The 21,904-nt window shown below is 40.3% G+C and overlaps 1 non-coding gene and 1 pseudogene across 1 annotated transcript; one reads left to right on the top strand and one right to left on the bottom strand.

The window, feature by feature from the left end:
• Nucleotides 1-5,356: 5,356 nt before the first annotated feature.
• On the bottom strand, nucleotides 5,357-5,462 carry LOC124905334 (U6 spliceosomal RNA). Its single transcript, XR_007068554.1, has one exon. It is a non-coding gene; the product is annotated as a U6 spliceosomal RNA (small nuclear RNA).
• On the top strand, nucleotides 11,024-19,528 carry LOC642249 (ankyrin repeat domain 57 pseudogene; annotated as a pseudogene).

Consider the following 21,904-nt stretch of genomic DNA (forward strand, 5'->3'; position numbering starts at 1 on the left):
TATGAAAAATCTCTGTACCTTCCTCTCAATTTTGCTGTGAACCTAAAACTGCTCTAAGAAATAAGGTTATTGATTTAAAAAAGATATTCAGTTGGGCTCAGTGGCTCATGCCTGTAATCTCAGCACTTGGGGAGGCAAAAGTGGGTGGATCACCTGAGGTCAGGAGTTCAAGACCAGCCTGGCCAACATGGCAAAACCTCGTCTCTAATAAAAGTACAAAAATTAGCTGGGCATGGTGGCTGGCACCTGTAATTTCAGCTACTCGGGAGGCTGAGGCAGGAGAATAGCTTGAGCCTAGAAGGTGGAAGTTGCAGTTAACCAAGATCACACCACTGCACTGCAGTCTGGGAGACAGAGTGAGACTCCATCTCAAAAAACAAAGAAGATATTCACTGTCTATGCATCCCAGGATCTCCAGAACAACAATTAAAATAAATAAATAAAAAAGATGGCTGGGGGCAGTGGCTCATGTCTGTAATCCCAGCACTTTGAGAGGTCAAGGTGGGTGGATCACCTGAGGTCAGGAGTTCGAGACCAGCCCGACTAACACCGTGAAACCCCATCTCTACTGAATACAAAAAATTAGCCGGGCATGATGGTGCATACCTGTAGTTCCAGGTACCTGGTAGGCTGAGGCAGGGGCATCATTTGAACCTGGGAGGTGGAGGTTGCAATGAGCCAAGATTGTGTCATTGCACTGCAGCCTGGGCAACAAGAGCAAAACTCTGTCTCAAAAAAAATAAGTAAATAAAATAAAACATAAAGATATTCACTGAACCTGTTACTATGATATATTTAAGCAAGACACGGTGACCCTAAAAATTAGAGATCATTGAAGACCAAAGTAACAACATGTGGTCATTATTTCTCAAATTGAAGTATATAAAATATATAAAATAATAAATGTAATTGCATGCTTAGGTAAGAAAATATTGATAAAAATGATTGAATATTTTATCTTATTTCATAATTCTAAGCAGGGCTTTAGCACAATATGAAAATTCGATTATTCATGTAATCCAAATAAAAGACAATTTTCATTCTAATTTTAACTCAGAAATTATTTTGCTTATTTAACAATTTTACTGAAAGGTAAATGAGATAAATAGGACAGATTATAGTTACCTAACATTGCTATGGTAACTTATGTACAAATAGCTGTTCGACACCGAAAGTCAAAAAAGTAACCAGTGCTGCAACTTAAGATGAATCATACAACAGAAATTAGTACCAAGTTACCTTATCTTATAATATTATATTATTAAAATGAAATTTTAAAACAACACCAAAAATTAAGTTGGAGCTATACAAAGTGTGCAGAAAAGATTTCATATAACAGGCAAGAGACTGCCATCCTTAGAAAGGCCTGCATGCAAGGCTGGCCCTTGGCTGGTGTTTAGGAAATTAGAATTGGGAGGGTTTCCACCATTCCCTGAGAAGAGTGGCTCACTGTGTCTAAAGTGTTTATAGAAACAGTGTGTTTTCTCTGAACAGCTGCTTTCCTTGTAAGAGTCTGGAATTTGGGTACATGAGAGGGAGAGTAACCCCCATAGAAAAACTTGGGCACTTAGTCTCTAATGAGACTCTGGTACTGGTAGACATCGCTGCACATATGTTGTCAAAATGTGAGCCTGGGAGAATTAAGCAGATCCAGGGAACTCCACAGAACGGAACTCCTGGAGGCTTGTGGCTCGTTTCCTCCAGAATTGACCACATGCACTTTTTCCTCTACTAATTTTGCTTGTCCCCTTTCTTGTTATCAATTAAAGATCTGAGTATGACTATTTGCTGAGTCCTGTGAGTCCTTCTAATGAACCAACAAACCTGGGGTGGTCTTGGGAAACCTTGACACAAATGTGTTGTGTAAGATTTGTATTAAGTTGATATGATATATGTAACTGTAATCAGATGGTTATTTCACAGAATAACTTTCCCTAATCTGTTTTTCTTTTCTTTTTTGCCCTTGATATTTGACTTGGAGATTCTTGTATTTCTATATCTATCTAATTGAATAAAACCATAAAAGGAATAAATGAAACAATAATGTCAGAAAATAATGTGAAATAAGGAGCAATCCTCTTTTAACCGAACAAAAAATAGACAATCTGGGTGATTGACAATATGTTCTACAACATGAATGTTTTTAGAAAAAAAAATGAAAAAGTGGTCAATTTTCTGCAACTCAACTGGGCTTCATTCCTTTTTATAATAATTGTGCAGGCCAGGTGCAGTGGCTCACACTTGTAAATCCGAGCATTTTGGGAGGTTGAGGCAGGAGGATCACTTGAGCCCAGAAGTTCCAGACCAGCCTCGGAAATATAGTGACACCTCACCTATTAAACAAACAAATAAACAAAAAAGCACCCTTAAAAAGAAAATTAGCCAAGTGTGGTAGTGCATGCCTGTAGTCGCAGCTACTTGGGAGGCAAAGGTGAAAGGATCATTTAAGTACAGGAAGCAGAAGTTGCAGTGAGCCAAGATGGCAGCACTGCATGCCAGTACTGGAAACAGAGGGAAACCCTGTATCAAAAATAAATAAACAAATAAACAATTGTGTATCAGGCCAGATGTAACCACACAAAACTGTAGTCTCAGCTACTCAGGAGTATGAGGTAGGAGGACTGCTTGAGCCCAGGAGTTCAAGGTTACAGTGAGCTATGATTGCACCAATGAACAGACACTGTATTCTAGCCTAGGCAACATAGAGAGACCCCATCTGCTATGATAATAATAATTGATTAATTGTGCATCATTCAAGTAAATTGTATAACTGGAGAAAAACATATGATTATTGAATATACTATTATCATCTACTACTGACCATAGAGTTCCTGTTTACTTGCTTCTAATCTTTTTCTTTGTTTCTCATAAAACTAAAAACATGATTTAAACCCATTAAAGGCAATTCATGGCAAAACAAGTCAAAAAGTCAAAAGAATTGCATCCAAACAGTAGGATGTGTTATCCACCGCTCTCTATGAACAGTTGGATTTGGTCATTAAGAATCAGCAGGACTTTTAACTTTGTGTCTGTGTGCACACGTGTGTGCACATGTGCGTGTGTGTATGTGTATGCATGTAAACTATGACAGATGAAATCATTTTGCTTGTGTAAGAATATGTAATATAACTTGTGCTTCTCACAGAGGAATTGCTTTTCCATCTTCTGTGCTCAGTAGCTATCTTAAAAAAAATAATCTCCTATTTGTATGGGTGCCCGCTGGTTCAGTTCTACAGTTCTTATTGCCATTTATTTATGGTACCAGAAAGGGATTGCTGAGTTGCTGGTTCTAAAGATAGTTACTTTCTTAGTGACACAAATCAATATGTAATACAGTTCACCCTTGAACAGCAAGGGTTTCAACTGCAGGGATTCACTTATATGCAGATTTTCTTCTGCCTCTGCAATGCAGAGACAGCAAGATCCACCTCTCCTCTTCCTCCTCAGCCTAATCAACCTGAAGATCATAAAGACCTTTGCCAGGAACTACTAATGCTTTATGAAAAGTCAATATGTTTTTCCTGATGATTTCCTTTCTAACAGCTTCATTTCTCTAGCTTATTTTATTGTACTAACACAGTACATCATAATGCAGCACAAATAAAATAGGTGTTCATCAACTGTTTATGTTATCAGGAAGGCTTCCAGTCAATGGTGGGCTATTACTAGCTAAGGTGAAGTAATCAAAAGTTATACTCGGATTGTCAACCTCACAGGATTGTTACCCTCACATTATTCATGGGTCAACTGTAGTTATTTGTTTAGTAAATGTAAACAATTTACTATAAAAATGAAATAGAAGATCCATTTGTATAACAAGTCCAATTTGTTATAATGTGACTATAGAGGAAACATACAACATATTAACTTAAAAATGTTTTTTCTTATTTATTCAAAAATATTATGTAGGGTTTTAGGGATCATAATTAAATAAATGAATGTTTTTAGACCATAATGTTTGAGATTATAAATTAGCTATAACTACCTTCTTAAATAAATCTGAATTTCAAACTAAAGAAGTTATATTTAAAAAATTAATTTACATATGTATATACATATATACACATTGAATTTATACATATTTTTAAACTGGTCTTTTTTGACTGGCACTACCTTAATCTTACGTCTTACTTCTTATTTTCTTATCAAGAGTAGGACCACCAAGAGAAGTAAGAAATTCACTCTCAGAAGACTTACCTCGTTTGTCCTTTTTAAGTATCTTCTTTTTATGTTCCAAAATTTGTTGTTGAATTCTACATATACCAAAGTAATAAATAAAATTGCTATTTTAATACTGAAATAAAAAATATTTACCAAACATATTAAATTCCAAAAACATTTTAGGCAGTATCAGACCTAGTATCAGAATTTTAATGTCCCATACACTTCAAATTTTTAAAACTTACAAGCTTATTAAGCTTATAATTAAAGAAGAAAAGAAAGTGAAGTACTCATAAATGGAGGAAGCACAGCTGAGTAAATTACCTCTAGTTAGCTGGATATCATGCAAATTGTCCTGCCCTCAGAGTAAGTCCTCGCTCTGTAACCAAAATACTTCGCTCTGTAGGTATTTTGTTTTCAGACAAGTTGCTTCTCTTAGGCTCCATGGTTTCTTCTAAAAAATAAGGATTCTGCTACCTTACTTCACTAGGTTGTTTGGAAGATGTAATGAGATTACATGTTTAAATGTTCAGAGAAATAATAAAGCAATGAAATAATTTATTCTTGAACCTTCTTGCTGAAACCATTTTGGAATCACAAATAATGCTCGGTGTGTGTTTTTCTATAAGTTCTAATATTCAAATGTTGCAGTTTTCAGAAAATGTTATTAAGTGCTAATTTTGGTTATTACTTGCATTCGTTGTGGCTTGTAATTCAGGGCATTTTACCTAATTCATAACTTATTACTAAATTTATATACATATAAATTTAATGAGCTCATCACTGAGCTCATCAATCACACCAAGGGCAGAAAACTAATAGGTGTCAAAACCTGGCTTGGAAAACTACCACTCCTTCTCTACCTCCTCAAACTCTGAGCCAGCAGATTTGTGCTTGGCTGCTGGATATCGATGGTCCTCTCCAACTAACAGACAAGAAAAAACCCTGCCTTGATTGTTTTTCAGTTCCATGAAGGAAATGCAAGTTGACATTTTCTCATTTCCAAGACATGTACTAACAACATGTAACATCCCCTTATTACTCAGCTCTGTTCCCATTTCAGAGATCACTGTACATCAATAGTTTCACAGTGATAATCACAGTTTCAATATTGCGTGTCACCTGTTTTGGTTTTCCTCACACTGCTTCCTCGGAGCTACTCAACAAATAGTCAAATGGCCTTCCTGGGTCTATGCAAAATATGGAATGCTTTCTGAATTTGTGTGCCATCCCTAGGCAGTAACCATGCTTATCTGCTCTGTATTGATCCAATTTAAAATATGTGCTGTTGAAATAAGTACAAAGCCCTGTTTGATACATGGATACTCATGAGTCATGGATGAGGCTTAGCTCTGTCAAATCCAACTCACTTACTTCAGATTCAGAGAATTTTATTGAATGGCTTCCTGTGAGGTAGAATTTTAAAATATATTGAAAACTTGAGGAAGAGCTGCAAGTAGCCCAGGAGATTTTCATGAATATAGAGACACATTACTTGAGGCACCAACTGCAAGCTGGTTCCCACTACTCAGTGGAAAGAGAACATGGAACATTCTGGTATCTAACCAAAACTGCTGCACAGGATATAAAAAAGCCTCAAGGTACAGATCTGACAGCAAAAGGGAAGCGGAACTCTGATCTCTTCCTGCAACATTATTTGAACATCCCTGACTATTGAGAACAATACCAACTAATATTGGTTAAAGGAAAGACAAGCATGGCTCTCAAAGGATAACATCCCATGAAGGCCTAGGCAAAGTCTAGCTAAGAGGTGGACTCCAAATAAGGTTTTCAGTGTAGGATGAGCATCAATTTGCTCAATATTTGTGTGGATAAAGCTAGGAGGCCTAGCTACCAGAGCAGGGTGCTGGGAAAAATAACTGAGCACAAGTACATAAACTAATAAACACTGTAGCTTTGACCTGTATATATGAATCACCATGAAAACTGAGAGGTCTGAATCAGTGAAGGCATCCTGGTGGCAAAGGTCAATCATTATCAGATTGCAGGTCCAGTGACAATGGCAATAATACAGCAAGTGAGGCCATGGAAACAACAGAATGATTTGAATGTCCTTTTTTTCCCCTTCTTCTGACTTGCAAAGAAAGATTGCCTTCCTTGGACTTAGGAAATCCCTTAGCTTCTTGGAAAATTCAAAGAAGGAAGACACAGGAGACAGCCCCAGGGGAAAATACAAGATTTTCTGCTAAATTGGACATTAAAAGACTCAATAACTAATTAGAAAAGTTAGACCAGGCATGGTGGCTAGCACTTTCAGAGGCCAAGGCAGGGGGATTACTTGAGCTCAGGAGTTCAAGACCGGCCACGACAACAGAGTGAGACCTTGTCTCTAAAAAAAAAAAAGAAAAAAAAGAAAGGAAAGGAAAAAAATCAAAGATGTGGCTCTTTTTATCCAATGCATGGGGATTATACTTAGAATAAAATGAACAACATTGAGATCCCTAGGGATAAAGTTCTCAAAAATCCAGAAAAAATCTTGCACTCTACTTCTAACTAATCTAGACTTCTGCTTGATTTCTGGCTAAAAGGTAGACTAACTCATGGCTATTTCAAACTATCTGAACCAAACTATGAACTGTCACCTAATGTGTAAGATGGAGTAGTTGCAATTATTTTAAACTTCAATTTAGTATCAACTGGCCTTTTAACATAAACACTTACTTTGTCAAATGATGAGAAATAGCATAATCTTCTGCATCTCGTCCACACATGTCTTTAGTGAAGACATCAATATTTTGCTTAAGAAGGATATTGACAATACCTGGTGAGTCATAGTGTATAGCAAGCATGAGGGCTGACCTAAAATAACAAAGAAATAACTCCACTCAAGAACTTTAATATCAAAAGCTAGTTTGATACACTTTATTTACCAGTTTAATATCCGCCTGTCAGTGTAGACGTAATAACCATTTGCATGTACTAGCTTGGGTCTATAAGCATCTAGGGTGCTCAAGTGTTCATCTTAGTAAATTGTCACCAAGACTAAAAGAAAGGGACAACAGGGAAGCCTCTTGTCCCACTGGGGTAAGACATAATACAAGTTGCTAACTTATAGTCCTTTGATGGCCAAGAAACTGAACTGTGCTGAGGTCACTTATGTAAAGTAGGCAAAGACTTAGATGAAGATTTCCCCATTGCTTTCCCAGTCCAATCAGCTAGGGGTCAGATAAGAGCTATGTGCAGGCTGAAAACAACAACAACAACAATGACAATAATAATAATAATGACAATACTAGTAGTCATAAACGAAAAGTCCACACTTCAAAAATTAATAAAACTGGTCAGGTGCAGTGGCTCATGCCTGTAATCCCAGCACTTTGGGAAGCCAAGGAGAGCAGATCACGAGGTCAAGAGATCGAGACCATCCTGGCCAACATGGTGAAATCCCATCTCTCCTAAAAATACAAAAATTAACTGGGCATGGTGGCGTGCACCTGTAGTCCCAGCTACTAGGAAGGCTGAGGCAGGAGAATCGCTTGAACCTGGGAGGTGGAGGATGCAGTGAGCCAAGATCACACCACTGCACTCCAGCCTGGCAACAGAGCAAGACTCCATCTCAAAAAAAAATTAATAAAACTAATACAAAACCCTTTAGCTCATAAAAGATTACAGTACCAAAAACATCTGATCATAAATACCAAACACTCTATATTATAAGAGAAGGTGAATCCTCCTATATACTATTCTTTATGTTACTCAGTCCAAATATTTGCTGGTCTACCTGATTATTCGTGGTGATATTTTTCATTATATGCCAATAATTATGTTAATCTTCTTATTGATATTTCTGACTTGAGTGACTGTTACCACTCTAGAATACTCAGGTTTTATTTTTTAAAAAAGAACAACTGTACCATCTCAGCCTATCAACAGCATGTGTACTTGCTTTGGGTTTCAATAAAAATTCCACCATTTTCTCTTTCTTGCAAATTATGGTGAATAAAAGTGGAGTATTATTGTCCTATGAAACAGCACAAAAAAAATTAATAATTCACAAAATTACATATTTCTCAACTGAAATGAAAATCTTCTCTGGGATGTTTTGAACTTCAACATACAATATAGAAAGGAAGTAAATGAAAAGCAGCCCCTTCCTTCTCACTCCTCTGTGCTTTCTGATGTGCTGGGCTTTGCCTTGCAACAACCCTCCTCTGTCTCCCCAGATTAACTGTGGTCATTGCCAAAACTCACTTTAAAAGTTTACCAGTCCCAAGAATCCTTGCTTTGTTCACAGCACTTAGCATGGTACATTGTAATCATTTCACTGTTTCCCACTGAAACCAAGAGCTTCTTGAGGCAAGGGCTGTATCTTTTGTCTCTATAGCCCCAAAACCCGAAGACATAGTAGCAAACATTTTAAGTTTTTTACAGAAATTAATGATCTAAATTATTCTCACTAAAGCAGTGTTTCTTAAACTATATTCCAAAGAATATTTGCTTTACCAGAAGTATTATACCCCAAGAGAAAGACTCCATGACAATCTGCATTTGAGAAATATTATAAAACTGTATGTTATGTCCAATAATCAAGAAATCTATTGAAGTTTACCTAATCCCCATTTGACAATACTATTTGTGGCAAACATTAACATTTGAGGAATTGTTTTAGGGGTACAGTTGCCAGAGCTTCCCAATGCAGGTGGAGGTTTCTTATGAGTGGTACAAACTTGCTTGATTCACTTCTATCAATGCTGTCAGGATCGCAGATGCCAATGTCAGGCACTCCTGCTCCAAATGGGTCACTATGGAAATGAGCTCTGAATTAAGAGAGATTGGCTTCCAATGCACTTATTTTCCTTATTATTAAATAGTCCATGGGTTTTTTCCCTAATACGAGAGAACAGATTTTTATCTTTACTGTTAGAAAGCTCAGTATGTTCTGTGTAAGAGAAATAGGTTTAAAAAACTTAAGAACAAATATTTAAAAAACCAAAGCTCAGTAAGAAATACCATTCTCAATTATAATGGTAATCCCAGGACCTCAGGGCAGCTCTACTTTTTAAATCCATTTTTATTGGCTTCCACTTAAAGGGCTACTTAAAATTATTTTTTATTTTAGACAAAATATAAATCAGAAATAAAAACATAATGTCTTATCAATAAAAGTTCTCATACTGATCCATATGAATTATTTCTGGCATAATAAAAGCCAGTAAGTCACTGGCATTTCTAAGGAAGAGCCCTGAGGAGAAAGATGTAATGTCTGCAATATTCATAAATTATCCAACTATAACCAGGAATAACCTAAAAAGGCTTCTAGGCATTCTTATGGACAGATAATTATTTGTGGTATATATAAAGAAAAGAGTTTCAAAACTTCTAAATTCTAAAATTCAACTCCATAACTGAGGGATTTATATACTCTATAGACTATATATTATAACAAATACATGCTGACTTAAAAACCTTGAAATCTTTATCAAAATATACTATAACATAGGAGTTGTAAACTCAGATACTTACAAGGACAAAGCAGGGTTGCCTGAGTAAAGGAAGTACTAAGGTGGGCACAGTACCAAACTGGAGAATACATACCTTCTCTAAAGGGGTAACCTCTGCACAGCAGATCAAACAGTGATAGAAACTCAGAGATGCCAGATTTGATTTTTTAGAATAAGCCTGAAGTCCAGATTTCTACACCAGTCTTCTAAATTTTACATGCTGATTCAACTTATAGAGGCAAACAAACAAATCTGTGTGCCACATTAGAAAATAGCCCTTGTGTTTTTATATTCGCTTCTAATGTGTTACTAAATGGTTGTGTATAATCCAAGTATTTGCATGTAAAATATTTTCTTTCTCTAGTATCATAGGTTTTACCAAAAAATCAGGCTCTCATATATAATAAAAATTGCCAAAAAAGACTCATAATACCTGCTTCAAGAATTTTTCCAACATTTATTCATTTAAAATATATTTTTATATAATTTTCCAAGATTGTTAACCAAATAGATAACTGGTTCATAGGACTGCTAAAACTAAATTATTAAAAGAATTCATATCTGTATTTTTATTAACTCCATGGACTTCAGTGTTTAAAACTGACATTTTGGGTATGCTAAAGCTCTATAAACTTAACAAACATACTGAGCTAGTTCATAATACAACTTCAACTAAAACAAAAGTTTAGGATTTGCTACTATTCTAATTGAGAAAACCCAACTTGTAATGAACATTTGTTGACACATAATCACGTGCATGGTGACAAAGGGACATGAAATCATGAAAGGGTCAGCCTCTACTTATTGAAAGATTACCCATAAGCAAATTGCTAAAGACTCCCTGAATGTTTGTGAAGGATTAACGGTGGGAAGGAAAAGGTGTTATTCTGTAAGCTGAGAGATATTACCAGTAATATTTCTTTTCACTTCCCAGTCACAGATGTAGAGAAAAACAGATGTCAGGCTAATATTACTGAAAAGGAGAACTTTGAAGGAAGTAGCACCTATCAAACACCAATTCTTCTAGAGATTTCTTACATTTTTGAGATACAGAAATTTATATGTTGCACGTATCTATTCTGGGGTTCTTAATCAGGAGTGTATCCAAAACTTGAGTTTTTTTTTTTTTTTTCTGTTATTGTTGTTAGAGGCAAGAGTCTCACTATGGTGCTCAAGCTGAACTTAAACTCAGGCTCAAGCTGGGACTACAGGAACATGTCACTGTGCCCAGCTTCAAGAAAACATTGTTAAAAATGTTCAGGCCTTATTAGATCTATTATATCAAAATCCTCAGGGGAAAGCCTACAATTGTAGATTTTTAACAAAATGTCCTCAGGTCACTGTAATGCACAATTCTGAGAATTAGTGCAGCAATCACTTCAGTCTCATCTCTCGTCCCCATGGCTAATTCCCTTTATCAGTTGGACATGTGGCCAAAAAGAGAAAAGAGTAAGAGATAGTGTCATTTATCAAAGCTCCAGTTAAGTTTTCTGGGTATGGGTAGAACACAGACAAGTAAACTCAAAATCCCACTTGATTTTCCTATTTATAAGCTCCTTATCTCCTACCTTCCACCAAGACATTCTAGGTTTGAGAGGAGGCTTTAGACTCTTATCTAAGTGGCTGTTTCTGCCAGGATGGGCAATAAGTCAGTTAATAATTTGTTCCACCTTCTGTTGAAGTGTTTCCCACTTCATCACCACATATTCCCTGCTAATCTGGTTTCCTCAAAGTCTTCCTAAAATTAATCTCTAGGCAAGTTTCAACTCACTGTCATTTTCAAACCAAAAATTATTAGACCCAAAGCTAAGGAACGCCTTGTCTCAACACATAAACTGGAAGAACAACAAACTAAGAGAAAAAAAAAAAACTCTTCTTGGCATTTTCCCTCATTACCTAATTTCCAAGTGACCTGCATATTTCTGATTGCTCTCCTTTTCCCTTCTCATTTTTCCCTCTCAAGCCTTGTGCCACTGAGAGATGATACATCAGTTTTTCAGAAAATTATCAGCAGCAGCAACATGTCCACTTCTTGTAAGTTGCTTTAGTTTTGTCTGAGTTTTAAGATAAATCCTACTTCCAGGGCATATGTTCTTTCCTGTGATGTTTTACACTAATTAGGGGGGAAAAAAGGAAAGAATAACCCTGCGTAGAAAAGAAGTTGAAAAGTTTTTACCTTTAACAAATTCAGAAATATTTTCCAAAGTGCGTTTTATAAAGCTGTACCCTTTAATGCTCCTTTAAAATTATGAATATTTAAAATAAAATCTTAGACAATTATTTCAAAAAAATTTGCATTTGCATTCAGGGAATGGTTGAGCTTCCAAATATAAAAAAATGACCCTTACCTATGTCAATGTTAAAACAAATATTTTGGAAAGAAAGTTGATTGATCTATACCCTGTCCAGTGCTTCAATATTTGCACCATGGAAAAGCAGTTTTTCTGCCAGTGAGGTGTTCTCACTATACACAGCATAATGGAGAGCAGTGTTGCCATAGATATCCTTAAGGTTTGGATTGGTGCCATGTTCCAGCAGAATAACGGCACAAGCCTCTTCCTGGCAATGGACAGCCTGTCCGTATTAGACCAATAAATAGATTGTAAAGTCTAAGAAATTCAAAATACACATTCCACAGGTTTCACCAACTAGTTATATTTAAATGAGATCAATTTATTTTAATTTTATGTATGCAAATCAAATCCATGTCATGCTAAAAGAGTTGGCTCTAATATACCTGTATCAAAGGCGTTCTATTTTCTTTGTCACAGATATCAATCTGGCATTTTCTGCTAACCAGGAGAGTGACCACTTTCACATGGTCACTGGCACAGGCCAAATGTAGAGCAGTTCTACGAGAGTAAGAGGACTTTTTAGGAAACTGTAGTGCAACATCTCAAAACATACAATCATTCATGTAACTGTAAAAATTGAAGAGCATGTTTTTCCTCTGCCTTCAAAACAAATACTTAATTTTGCTGAAGAAAGCACAATACTTACTAGCTCTTATTGCTCACTGCCTTAATGAAAACAGCAGCCTATTTGAATAGAAAGAGCTCACTCTTTGGATTCAGTTCAACCAGGGCTTGAGTCCTACTTTAAACCCTGTAACTTACCAACTATTGCTTAGCCTTTCTGTGTCTCAACTTCCTCATTAAGAAAGATGACAATAGTAGCTATCTCATAGGACACCATCGTGATGCTTAAATGAGAAGCTATGTATTTAGAATAGTTCCTATAACAACTCAATAATTGTAAGATTTTTGTTTTTTGAGACAAAGTCTCACTCTTTTGCCCAGGCTGGAGTGCAATGATGTAACTATAGCTCACTGCAGCCTGGAACTCCTGGGCTCAAGCGATCCTCCATCCCCAGCCTCCTGAGTAGCTGGGACTACAGATGTGCACCCGCATGCCCAGCTATTTATTTAAAAATTTTTGTAGAGTAAGAATCTCACTTTGTTGCCCAGGATGGTCTCAAACTCCTGGCACCAAGCAATCCTCTCACCTCAGCCTCCCAAAGTTCTGGTATTACATGTGTGAGCCACTGCACCCAGCCAGATATTATAATTGTTACTATTACTACTACTTAACAAAAACAATTTAATTAGGTAAAAGACACAATTATACCTACTTTGCAGGATGGCTTAAAGAGTAGATCACATTTTAACACTTCTGACATTGGAATGTCACTTATATTACTATAACTATAATTGGTAGCATCTTAAAAATTATCTTATCGATATATAAAATAGCGGGGCATCTCACAATCCATGAGACCTTACATTAAGTAGAATATGGTGTAGTCAGCAGGTCTAGGGCACTTCTAGGCATATAACTGGCATGTAAATACATTTTAGTTCTTAAAGGTACTATGGGGATAGAACACTGAAATAATAATAATGAATTTTTTAAACACATTAATTCCTTGATTTTCAAACAAATTGAAGACAAAGGAAACTCATGATTCAAATGAATACATATGGCTCATTTTATTCAATATTTATGCTTACAGAATATATGCAAATAAGATTTTCCAATGATTAATATTAGTATTTAAGACTGATAAACTTTTGAATGGCAGTTAAAGGTTATCTTGTACTATTTTCTAACTTCAGAAATGCTTTTGTTTGAAAGTTGGGAGACAAAGTTTCAAGAAGATTAAGTCCCAATATTCCTATTTTAAATCTCTTAGCTTGCGCAGGCAGGGCAGGTAAACATGAAGTTTTTAAGGACAGAAGGGTCCTGAGAGATAGCAGAATATGTCTGCTACATAACAGGTACTCAGGTTATGTTTGATGAATAAATGGAATGAAAGAATGGATAAATACATTTGGGGAGTTCAATATTTTTAAATAAAAGTCCGCGATCCAGCCCGGTCCACCACAGCCTTCAGCAGCGACACTCGCAGCCTCCGACCTCTCAGAACGAATGAGCCTCGCAAAGCCGTTGGGTGCGCGCCTGCACGGCGGTTGCTGCCCGGCTCCCGGAAGCCGCTCCCTGGCGGTGCGCGCCGGCAGCTGGGGCTGCAGCTCTGGGCGGGCGCCGATGGGCTCGCAGGTCCTCTTGGGATCGCCCGGGCGGCCCCAGGATCACAGGAGCGCCACCAGCCCGGCCTGAGAAGGAGGGCCTGTCTGGCCTTGCAGCCCGCCCCGCTCCTCCTCGGAAGGGAGATAGGGTGCTGGCAAGGGCACTCCGCGTCCACCTGGGTGGCTTTGCGGATGGCCCGGCTTCAAGCTGAGGCTCTGGCCCTGGAGTCTGTGTGGCTAGTGTCAGGTAGCTGGAGAGGCATGGAAGCAGAGTCAGGGGCTGCTCCTTCCCCCACCAGCCCTCACTGCTGCCAGTGCCCCACGCGCGGTTTGCAGCTGCAGATCTGGCACTGGCGTGGGATGGCGGAGCTTCCCTTGGATGGCTTCAGGGTCGCAGAGCGCACAGCCCACCTGGCCTCAAGTTCCGCTCCTCTTGGGCATCTCTCTGGATCCTGGGCCCTGGTGCTGGACACTCTGTATCCACACGGATGAAACTGAGCGGCTGCTGGCGGGGCCCGTCTCCTGATTCTGCCGCCCTGGGGGTCTGGCCTCAGGATCCACGCTACTGGGGGGCGGGCCTGGTCTGGGGTGTCCAGTCACTTACTGCTGGTGCACCACGTCTAGACTGCAGCTGCGGCTCCCATGCCGGCGTGAGCTGGCGGGCCTGGTACCTGATGTCCTCAGGGTCAAGTGCATCACCCGCCCACTTGAGGGGTTGCTGTGACTTGGCCTCCTCCAAGAACTCAGGGGCCGCCGGGGCTGGCTCTTTGTGGTAACCGGGATGGTATTGAGCAGCAGGTTTTCACCCTGGTGCCACTGCTGTGCGGACTGCCTGACTTGGGCGCCCAGGCACCGGCCTCAGGGTCCACGTGGCAGGTGTGTGTGCGGGTAGGGTGAGTGGCACGGAGGGTCAGGGGTTGCTCCGTCATCTCTGCCTGTGTGCAACTTGCAGTTTTGCAGCTTTCTGCAGCAGCTGAGGCGCTGGCGCGGGAAGGTGGAGCTCCCCTGGATGACGTCAGGTTTGCAGGCAAACCTGAGGGTCTGCTCAGGGGCCATGGTGGTTGAGTGCTCCATGGAAACTGGGATGGGGTGAACGGCCAGTTCCTGTCCTTTGGCCGCCTGGCCAATTGCCAGACTTAGCCGCTGCTGCCCAGGCATCTGTCTCTGGGGTTGCCGCTACTTGGGTAGAAGTGGGGGTCGGGGTGGGGCATGGAGCGTCACCGGTTGCCAGGCCAGCACTGTCTTTGCAACATATTCAGATGGCGGCGGGCAGCTCAGCTCGGGCACCAGCATGGGCTGGCGGGGCTCCCCTGGAAGGCCCTCAGATCGCTCACAGCATTGTCCCAGGGCTTCCTTGGCCTGTGCCAGGTGAGCAAGGTAGGGGGGAGCTTCCAAGGCTTCTATCCCAACTCTACATATTTCTAGCTATTTTCTCTTGAGTTATTTTGCGTCTATCTCAGTTTTATTTGCAAAAATAGTATATGCAAAATACATCCAGTGAATGTACATCAGGCATATAGAAGATCTGGCAGAAACACGTTTTCTCATGCCCATTTCCAGTGAGTATTTGAACACAGAGGCTTCCATGGTTTTGATTCTTTCCACAAAAGGATAGTTTTGTCTGTTTTCACCATTTACATAAGTGAAACTATAAATTATATAATTTTATGTTCATTCACTAAACATGCTTGTGACACTTATCATTTTGCTCCTATTGATTATTCATTAATTTTATTTTGTAATACTCAATTTTATGACTATACCACAGGTTTGAGGCCTTTGCTTGTTTTGTTTATAATCCACTCCACTATTGATAGACACAAAAGCAGTTTCGGATTTGAGGCTATCATGAATAAACCTGCTACGAACAAATCAGATATACACGTTTTTCTGTAATAATATTTTCACATTTCTTGAGTTTAAGAGTGGATTTTCTGGGTTATAAAATAAGTATATATTTGGCATTGTATGAAATGGGGAGACATTTTCCTAAGTGGTTGTGCCATCTTAAACTACAATGAAAATGTTTGAGACAATCAGTTCCACTTTCTAACCAATACTTGATGCTGTCAGTTGTTTTAGTGTTATCCATTCTTATAGGATATAACTGCTGAGTAGCTGTCTGCCTTCCCCATAACACAGAAAATTGAGGGCCCAGAGGACAGTTTTATTTTCATATTTGACATCTTCTATTATGTTTTATAGAAGGGTGATTTGGGTAGTAAAATTTTCTTTCAATTTTCTAGGTTGTCTCTGAATCTTACTGGGGTTCCTTGTCCTAAACCACATTCAGAAATTTTCACGACCGACTTCTTTTTATCTTTGTCATACCAGGCCAATGAGGGACAGCGTTCCTGAAACTTTTTAAGTACTTTGTGTGTGTATGATGGTCTAATAATCATAGCCTTAAAACTTTCTGGCTGCGCATGGTGGCTCATGGCCACCACTTCGAGAGGCCGAGGTGGGTGGATCACCTGAGGTCAGGAGTTCGAGACCAGCCTGACCAACGTGGAGAAACCCCAACTCTACTAAAAATAAAAAAAGTAGATGGGCATGGTGGCAGATGCCTGTAATCCCAGCTACTTGGGAGGCAGGAGCTACTTGGGCTGAGACAGGAGAATCGCTTGAACCCACGAAGCAGGGGTTGCAGTTAGATGACATCACACCATTGCACTCCAGCCTGGGCAACAAGTGTGAAATTCCATCTCAAAAAAAAAAGAATCTCAGACTTCTGGGAGACACTGAATTTGTGAATGTGTACAGCATGTCACAATAACTTTTTTTTTTTTTTGAGACCAAGTCTCACTCTGCTGCCCAAGCTGGAGTGCAGTGGCCCATCTCAGCTCACTGCAACTTCTGTCTCCTGGACTCAAGAAATTCTCCTGTCTCGGCCTCCCGAGTAGCTGGGATTACAGGTGCTGCAACCATGCCTGGCTAATTTTTGTATTTTTAGTAGAGACAAAGTTTCACACATTGGCCAAGCTGGTGTCGAACTCTTCACCTCAGATGATCCACCTGCCTCAGCCAATGGGTGGATTGTTAACTCAAAATACGCACCATTGAATACTGAGGAAATTGTATAGCCATCATCACCAGCAGCTAAGATGCCAGTTGAGATACCAGGAATGCCCCAGCATGTAACTCCTCTTTTAATTCACACACACACACACACACACACACACACACACACACTCATGGTAACCAGTTCAGGATGGACACAGAAACAGTCACAGTCTTTTTTGGGAACACACTCCCCTGTGACACTTAGATCCTAATGCTGACTCCATTTCCCTCCCGGGACCTCCCCTCTCCTTGCAGCATGCTGGGCTTTCCCTTAGAAAACTCCATGTCATTTCCTTCAATGGAACATCAATCAGCTTCATCCACAGTGTCTGCATGTCTCTGTCCATAGCAAATGTTTTTATTACTTTAAAATGTAGATTTTTACCTTAACTAGCCAAAGACTTAGGACCCTTTTTCCAAGATCTTTTAGATGAAGTAATAAATGCAAATATTAGAGATGTGTATATGTGTATAAACATATGGAGAAAAGATGTTGTCTAGTTCTACAAATTAGCTTTAACAAAACTCCTGATTTAAATTATTTAATTGTGAGAAGGGCGATTCTAACTCAACACACCAACGAAATAAAAGCCTTATCCCTCTGCTCCGCCAAAATATCCCATTAAGAGCCTGCGTGTGTGTGTACACACACGTGTGCACTCATCCCCACCTGACCGTATCAAATTATTCTTTAAACTAGATATTTTTACTTTGTTGCATAGTAGTAATGGTTTCTGGAATGAAAAAAAAAAAAACAGGAGAATAAAACTGTTTAAATGTATCTCCGGGTGAACGCTGTGGCCACTGCACCAACCCAAACCCGCCGATGGCGCCCAGTACCTGCGTCTCAGGAAGAGGTTCTGGCGGGGCCTCCGCCTGAGGCCGCGCCCCTGGGACCTGTCCCGCGTCCACGTGAAAGCGGAGCGCAGCATTCACCATTCCCTTCCTGAAACAGCGGTCCCCGAGGTGCTCCACAGGCAGGGCCGAGCTGGGCGAGGGGGAGCCCAGCTCCTGCACGGGCCGCCCTGAGCGGCGGGGACACAGGAAGAGCTCGCCGGCACCACCAGCCCCTACCCCAGACGCGGGACCTGGGACCAGCGAGGACCTGGAGCCCCCGCCCCACGGTTGCCAGGAGGCGGACAGGGGCAGCTCCTGGGGAGCTACCGCCCCGAGGCCATTCCGCCAGAACTTGAGCCACTTGGGAAGGGGCAGCGCCCCGCCCCTGAAGAGGAACCTGTGTCCTGGAGGCAGCAGCCTGGGAGCTTCTCCTCCGAGGACACCGCAGAGGCGAGTGACTGTGGTGGCGCAGCGCTGGCTTTCCCGTCCGCGGAGGAGGAGAGCTGCGGGGCTGGGTGAGCTGGACCAGGGAGCACGGCTGGCTTCTCTCAGCCTCCGATGGAGAGTGGACAGCTTAGGGGGTTGCCCCCGTGCCAGCCGGCCTTCTGGCCACTCTGGGCTTCATCACAGCCTCACCTGCCTGCTCAGGCGCCTAGCACCGCAGGCTGGAGCTTCTGGCCATGCTGGTCAACTTCCCCAACGAGCCTCTGCTGCCTGGGAACTGCAAGGCCAGGGCTACACCGCCCTGCACTTGGCAGCCATGTACCTTGGAGATGGTGAAGCTGCTAGTGGGGACCTAGGACGCCGATGTGGACATCAGGGACTACATTGGGAAAAGGGCCTCCCAGTATGTGAGTCAGAGCATCACAGAAGAGATCGAGACCCTGGTGGGAGTCCTGGACAAGGACGAAGGGGAGAGCACCGCCAGCAGCGGGGGTGGGTACTGGAAGATTTAAAAGGTGCCTCCTCCATCTCACCACCTACAAACTCTCACACGTCCTGGAAGATGGGGGGACCCTCTCCACCATCACGACTTGGCTGAAGGTGGTCCAGAGGTGAAGCCAAGGATTCCAGGGCGCACAGCCTCGGGCAGGACTAATGGACTTAAAAAACACAGGCTCAACAAAATCCACTTCACAACCCAGATGGTTCACATCACACCCTCTTTCAGGGACTCAGAGCAGCCACTGGAAGAGAAGGAGTAGGAACGCTCTCTTAAAGGCCACTTATCCGATTCCTTCAAATTAAGACCAAAGTCCAATGTATTTAGGTAAAAAATAATTTCTTTTAGAAAATGCTAAGGTTTGTCTTCTGAAATTTAATAACAGAAACAAAAAAAGAACACTAGATGTAAGGAAGTGAGACCAGAAAAGACAACTAAACTATCCTTACTAGGTTGGAATGGATGGGGTGGAGTTCCCATCAGGCTAGCATTCTGGGGAAAGTGTTTATTTTATTTTATTTTTTATTTTTGGCGGTGGGGGGAAGGAGTCTCGCTCTGTCGCCCAGGCTGGAATGCAGTGGCGCCATCTCCGCTCACTGCAAGCTCCGCCCCTCGGGTTTATGCCATTCTCCAGCCCCAGCCTCCCAGTAGCTGGGACTACAGGTGTCCGCCACCACACACGGCTATTTTTTTTGTATTTTTAGTAGAGACGGGGCTTCACCGTGTTCTCCAGGATGGTCTCTATTCCTGACCTCGTGATCCGCCCACCTCGACCTCCCAAAGTGCTGAGATTACAGGCGTGAGCCACTGAGCCTGGCCAGATTTCTATTTAAGAGGTTCATCATACCTTGATCTGTGCCCCATTTCCCTCCTCCACCTATCTGACCTGGCGTTCCTATTTCGGGAGACCAGAAGTGGGGGGAAGAGAAGGGATGACTGTTTCTTTGCTTTCACCATTCCTGCATACCATGCAAAGGAAGGAATATTGCGCTTTTAATTATCTGTTTTATTAAGTGGTTACTCTTTCAAGGACAGAAAAAATGCAAATTTTTACAAAACTGGTAGTATTTGTAAGTGCAAGCACTACATGCTGCCTTGTTCTTTTACCAATTGCATTTGCATTTTAAGGTACTACTGGTACAGCCACGGTGGAGAACAGTTTGAAGGTTCCTCTAAACATTGAAAATGGAGGTACCACACGATCCAGCAATCCCACTGTTGGATATATACCCCCAAAATAAGAAATGAGTATATCGAAGAAATTATCTGCACTCCCATGTTTGTTGCACCACTGTTGACAATAGCTAAGATTTGGAAGCAACCTAAGTGTCCATCAACAGATTAATGTATTAAAGAAAATGTGGTAGATACACACAGTGGAGTATTATTCAGCCCTAAAAAAGAATGAGATTCAGTCATTTGCAACAACATGGAAGGAACTGGATATCATTATGTTAAGGGAAATAAACCAAGCACGGAAAGACAGACATTGAATGTTCTCACTTATTTGTGGGATCTAAAAATCAAAACAATTGAACTCATGGACATAGTAAGTACTAGGGGGCTGGGGAGGGAGACAGGGCACGGGTAATGGGTACAAAAATAGGCAGAAGGAATGAATAAGACATACTATTTGATAGCACAACAGGGGGACTCTAATCAATAATTGTACATTTAAAAATAACTAAAAGAATCTAACTGGATTGTAACACAAAGGATACATGCTTAAAGGGTTGGATACCCACTCTCCGTGATGTGATTAGTTCATGTTTCATGCCTGTATCAAAACATCTCATGCACCCCATAATATATATGCCTATTATATACTCACAAAAATGCTTGAAAATAAAAATAAAGGAACTACTGAAGGTCAGGTCAGAGTGGAAATGCAAAAGTACCAATTAGAGAATAATGTGAATACAACAGGAATCCTGTTGGTATTCTATTTATATTGTAAGCAGCAGTTCAATTGTCTTGTAAAAGCAATTTCAATTTTAATCACTGAACTAAAGAAATGGGCAACACTGACTTCCGTAATATAGGTTCTACCTAACCATCTCTAACACCGCTGTCAAGGAGGTCCAGTGTTAAGGTACATTATTGTTATAAATATTAGTGAGCCCATACTTCTGCGATATAATTAAACCAACTTAATGATTCTCACATAAGGTGTCAATTTATTTTACTAATGCATTCATAATCTATGCTTTGTAGCAACATTTTTCAAATGTTTAAAATGCTAAATCTTCTCAATTTTCCAATCTTTTCTTGAATCTATTAGATACCTATAGTGTAGTTACTGAATAGCTGGGAAACAAATACACCTAGTTAGAAATGGCACTGCTTTATAAAAGGCACTAGAGAAAAGATGAGACTATTTCTATATTTAAATGCTGCTGGCAAATGAATTCCTTTGTATATAAATGAAAGATACCATTCATTAAAATGAAAGACTTAAGTGTGATTCTTACATTTCATTCATTTATGATAGAGTAAATGCCTTTATAATTACTTTAAAATTTAACTCACTAGTACATTAAATCTGTTCATTGCAAGATTAGAATCAAATGTGAGGGGAACTAATTTAAAAAAGCCCTTCGTTAGTCTTATTGAGTCTCATATTTGCTGAAAGTACCTACAGCTTGCAGGATAAGGGAGTTCACGGACTATAGGGTGAGTGAACCCATGCACAGATTGCAAACTGCCCAGAGCTACAACATTTAGGATTTTTAGACCTTTAATTTTCCAAGTCATAGAAATCTGTTACAGGTTCATCACATCTTTGTCTAAATGGCAACTGAATTTCTTTAAAGATAGGTTAAAAAAGGCATAAAACTATGAATTATTATCCGTTTGCGTGCCTCTATTTTTGCTTTAGAATTATGGAAGTGGATCCTGTGAATTAGGGAAAC

Source organism: Homo sapiens, unplaced genomic scaffold, assembly GCF_000001405.40.
Source record: "Homo sapiens unplaced genomic scaffold, GRCh38.p14 Primary Assembly HSCHRUN_RANDOM_CTG21".
Lineage (NCBI taxonomy): Eukaryota > Metazoa > Chordata > Mammalia > Primates > Hominidae > Homo > Homo sapiens.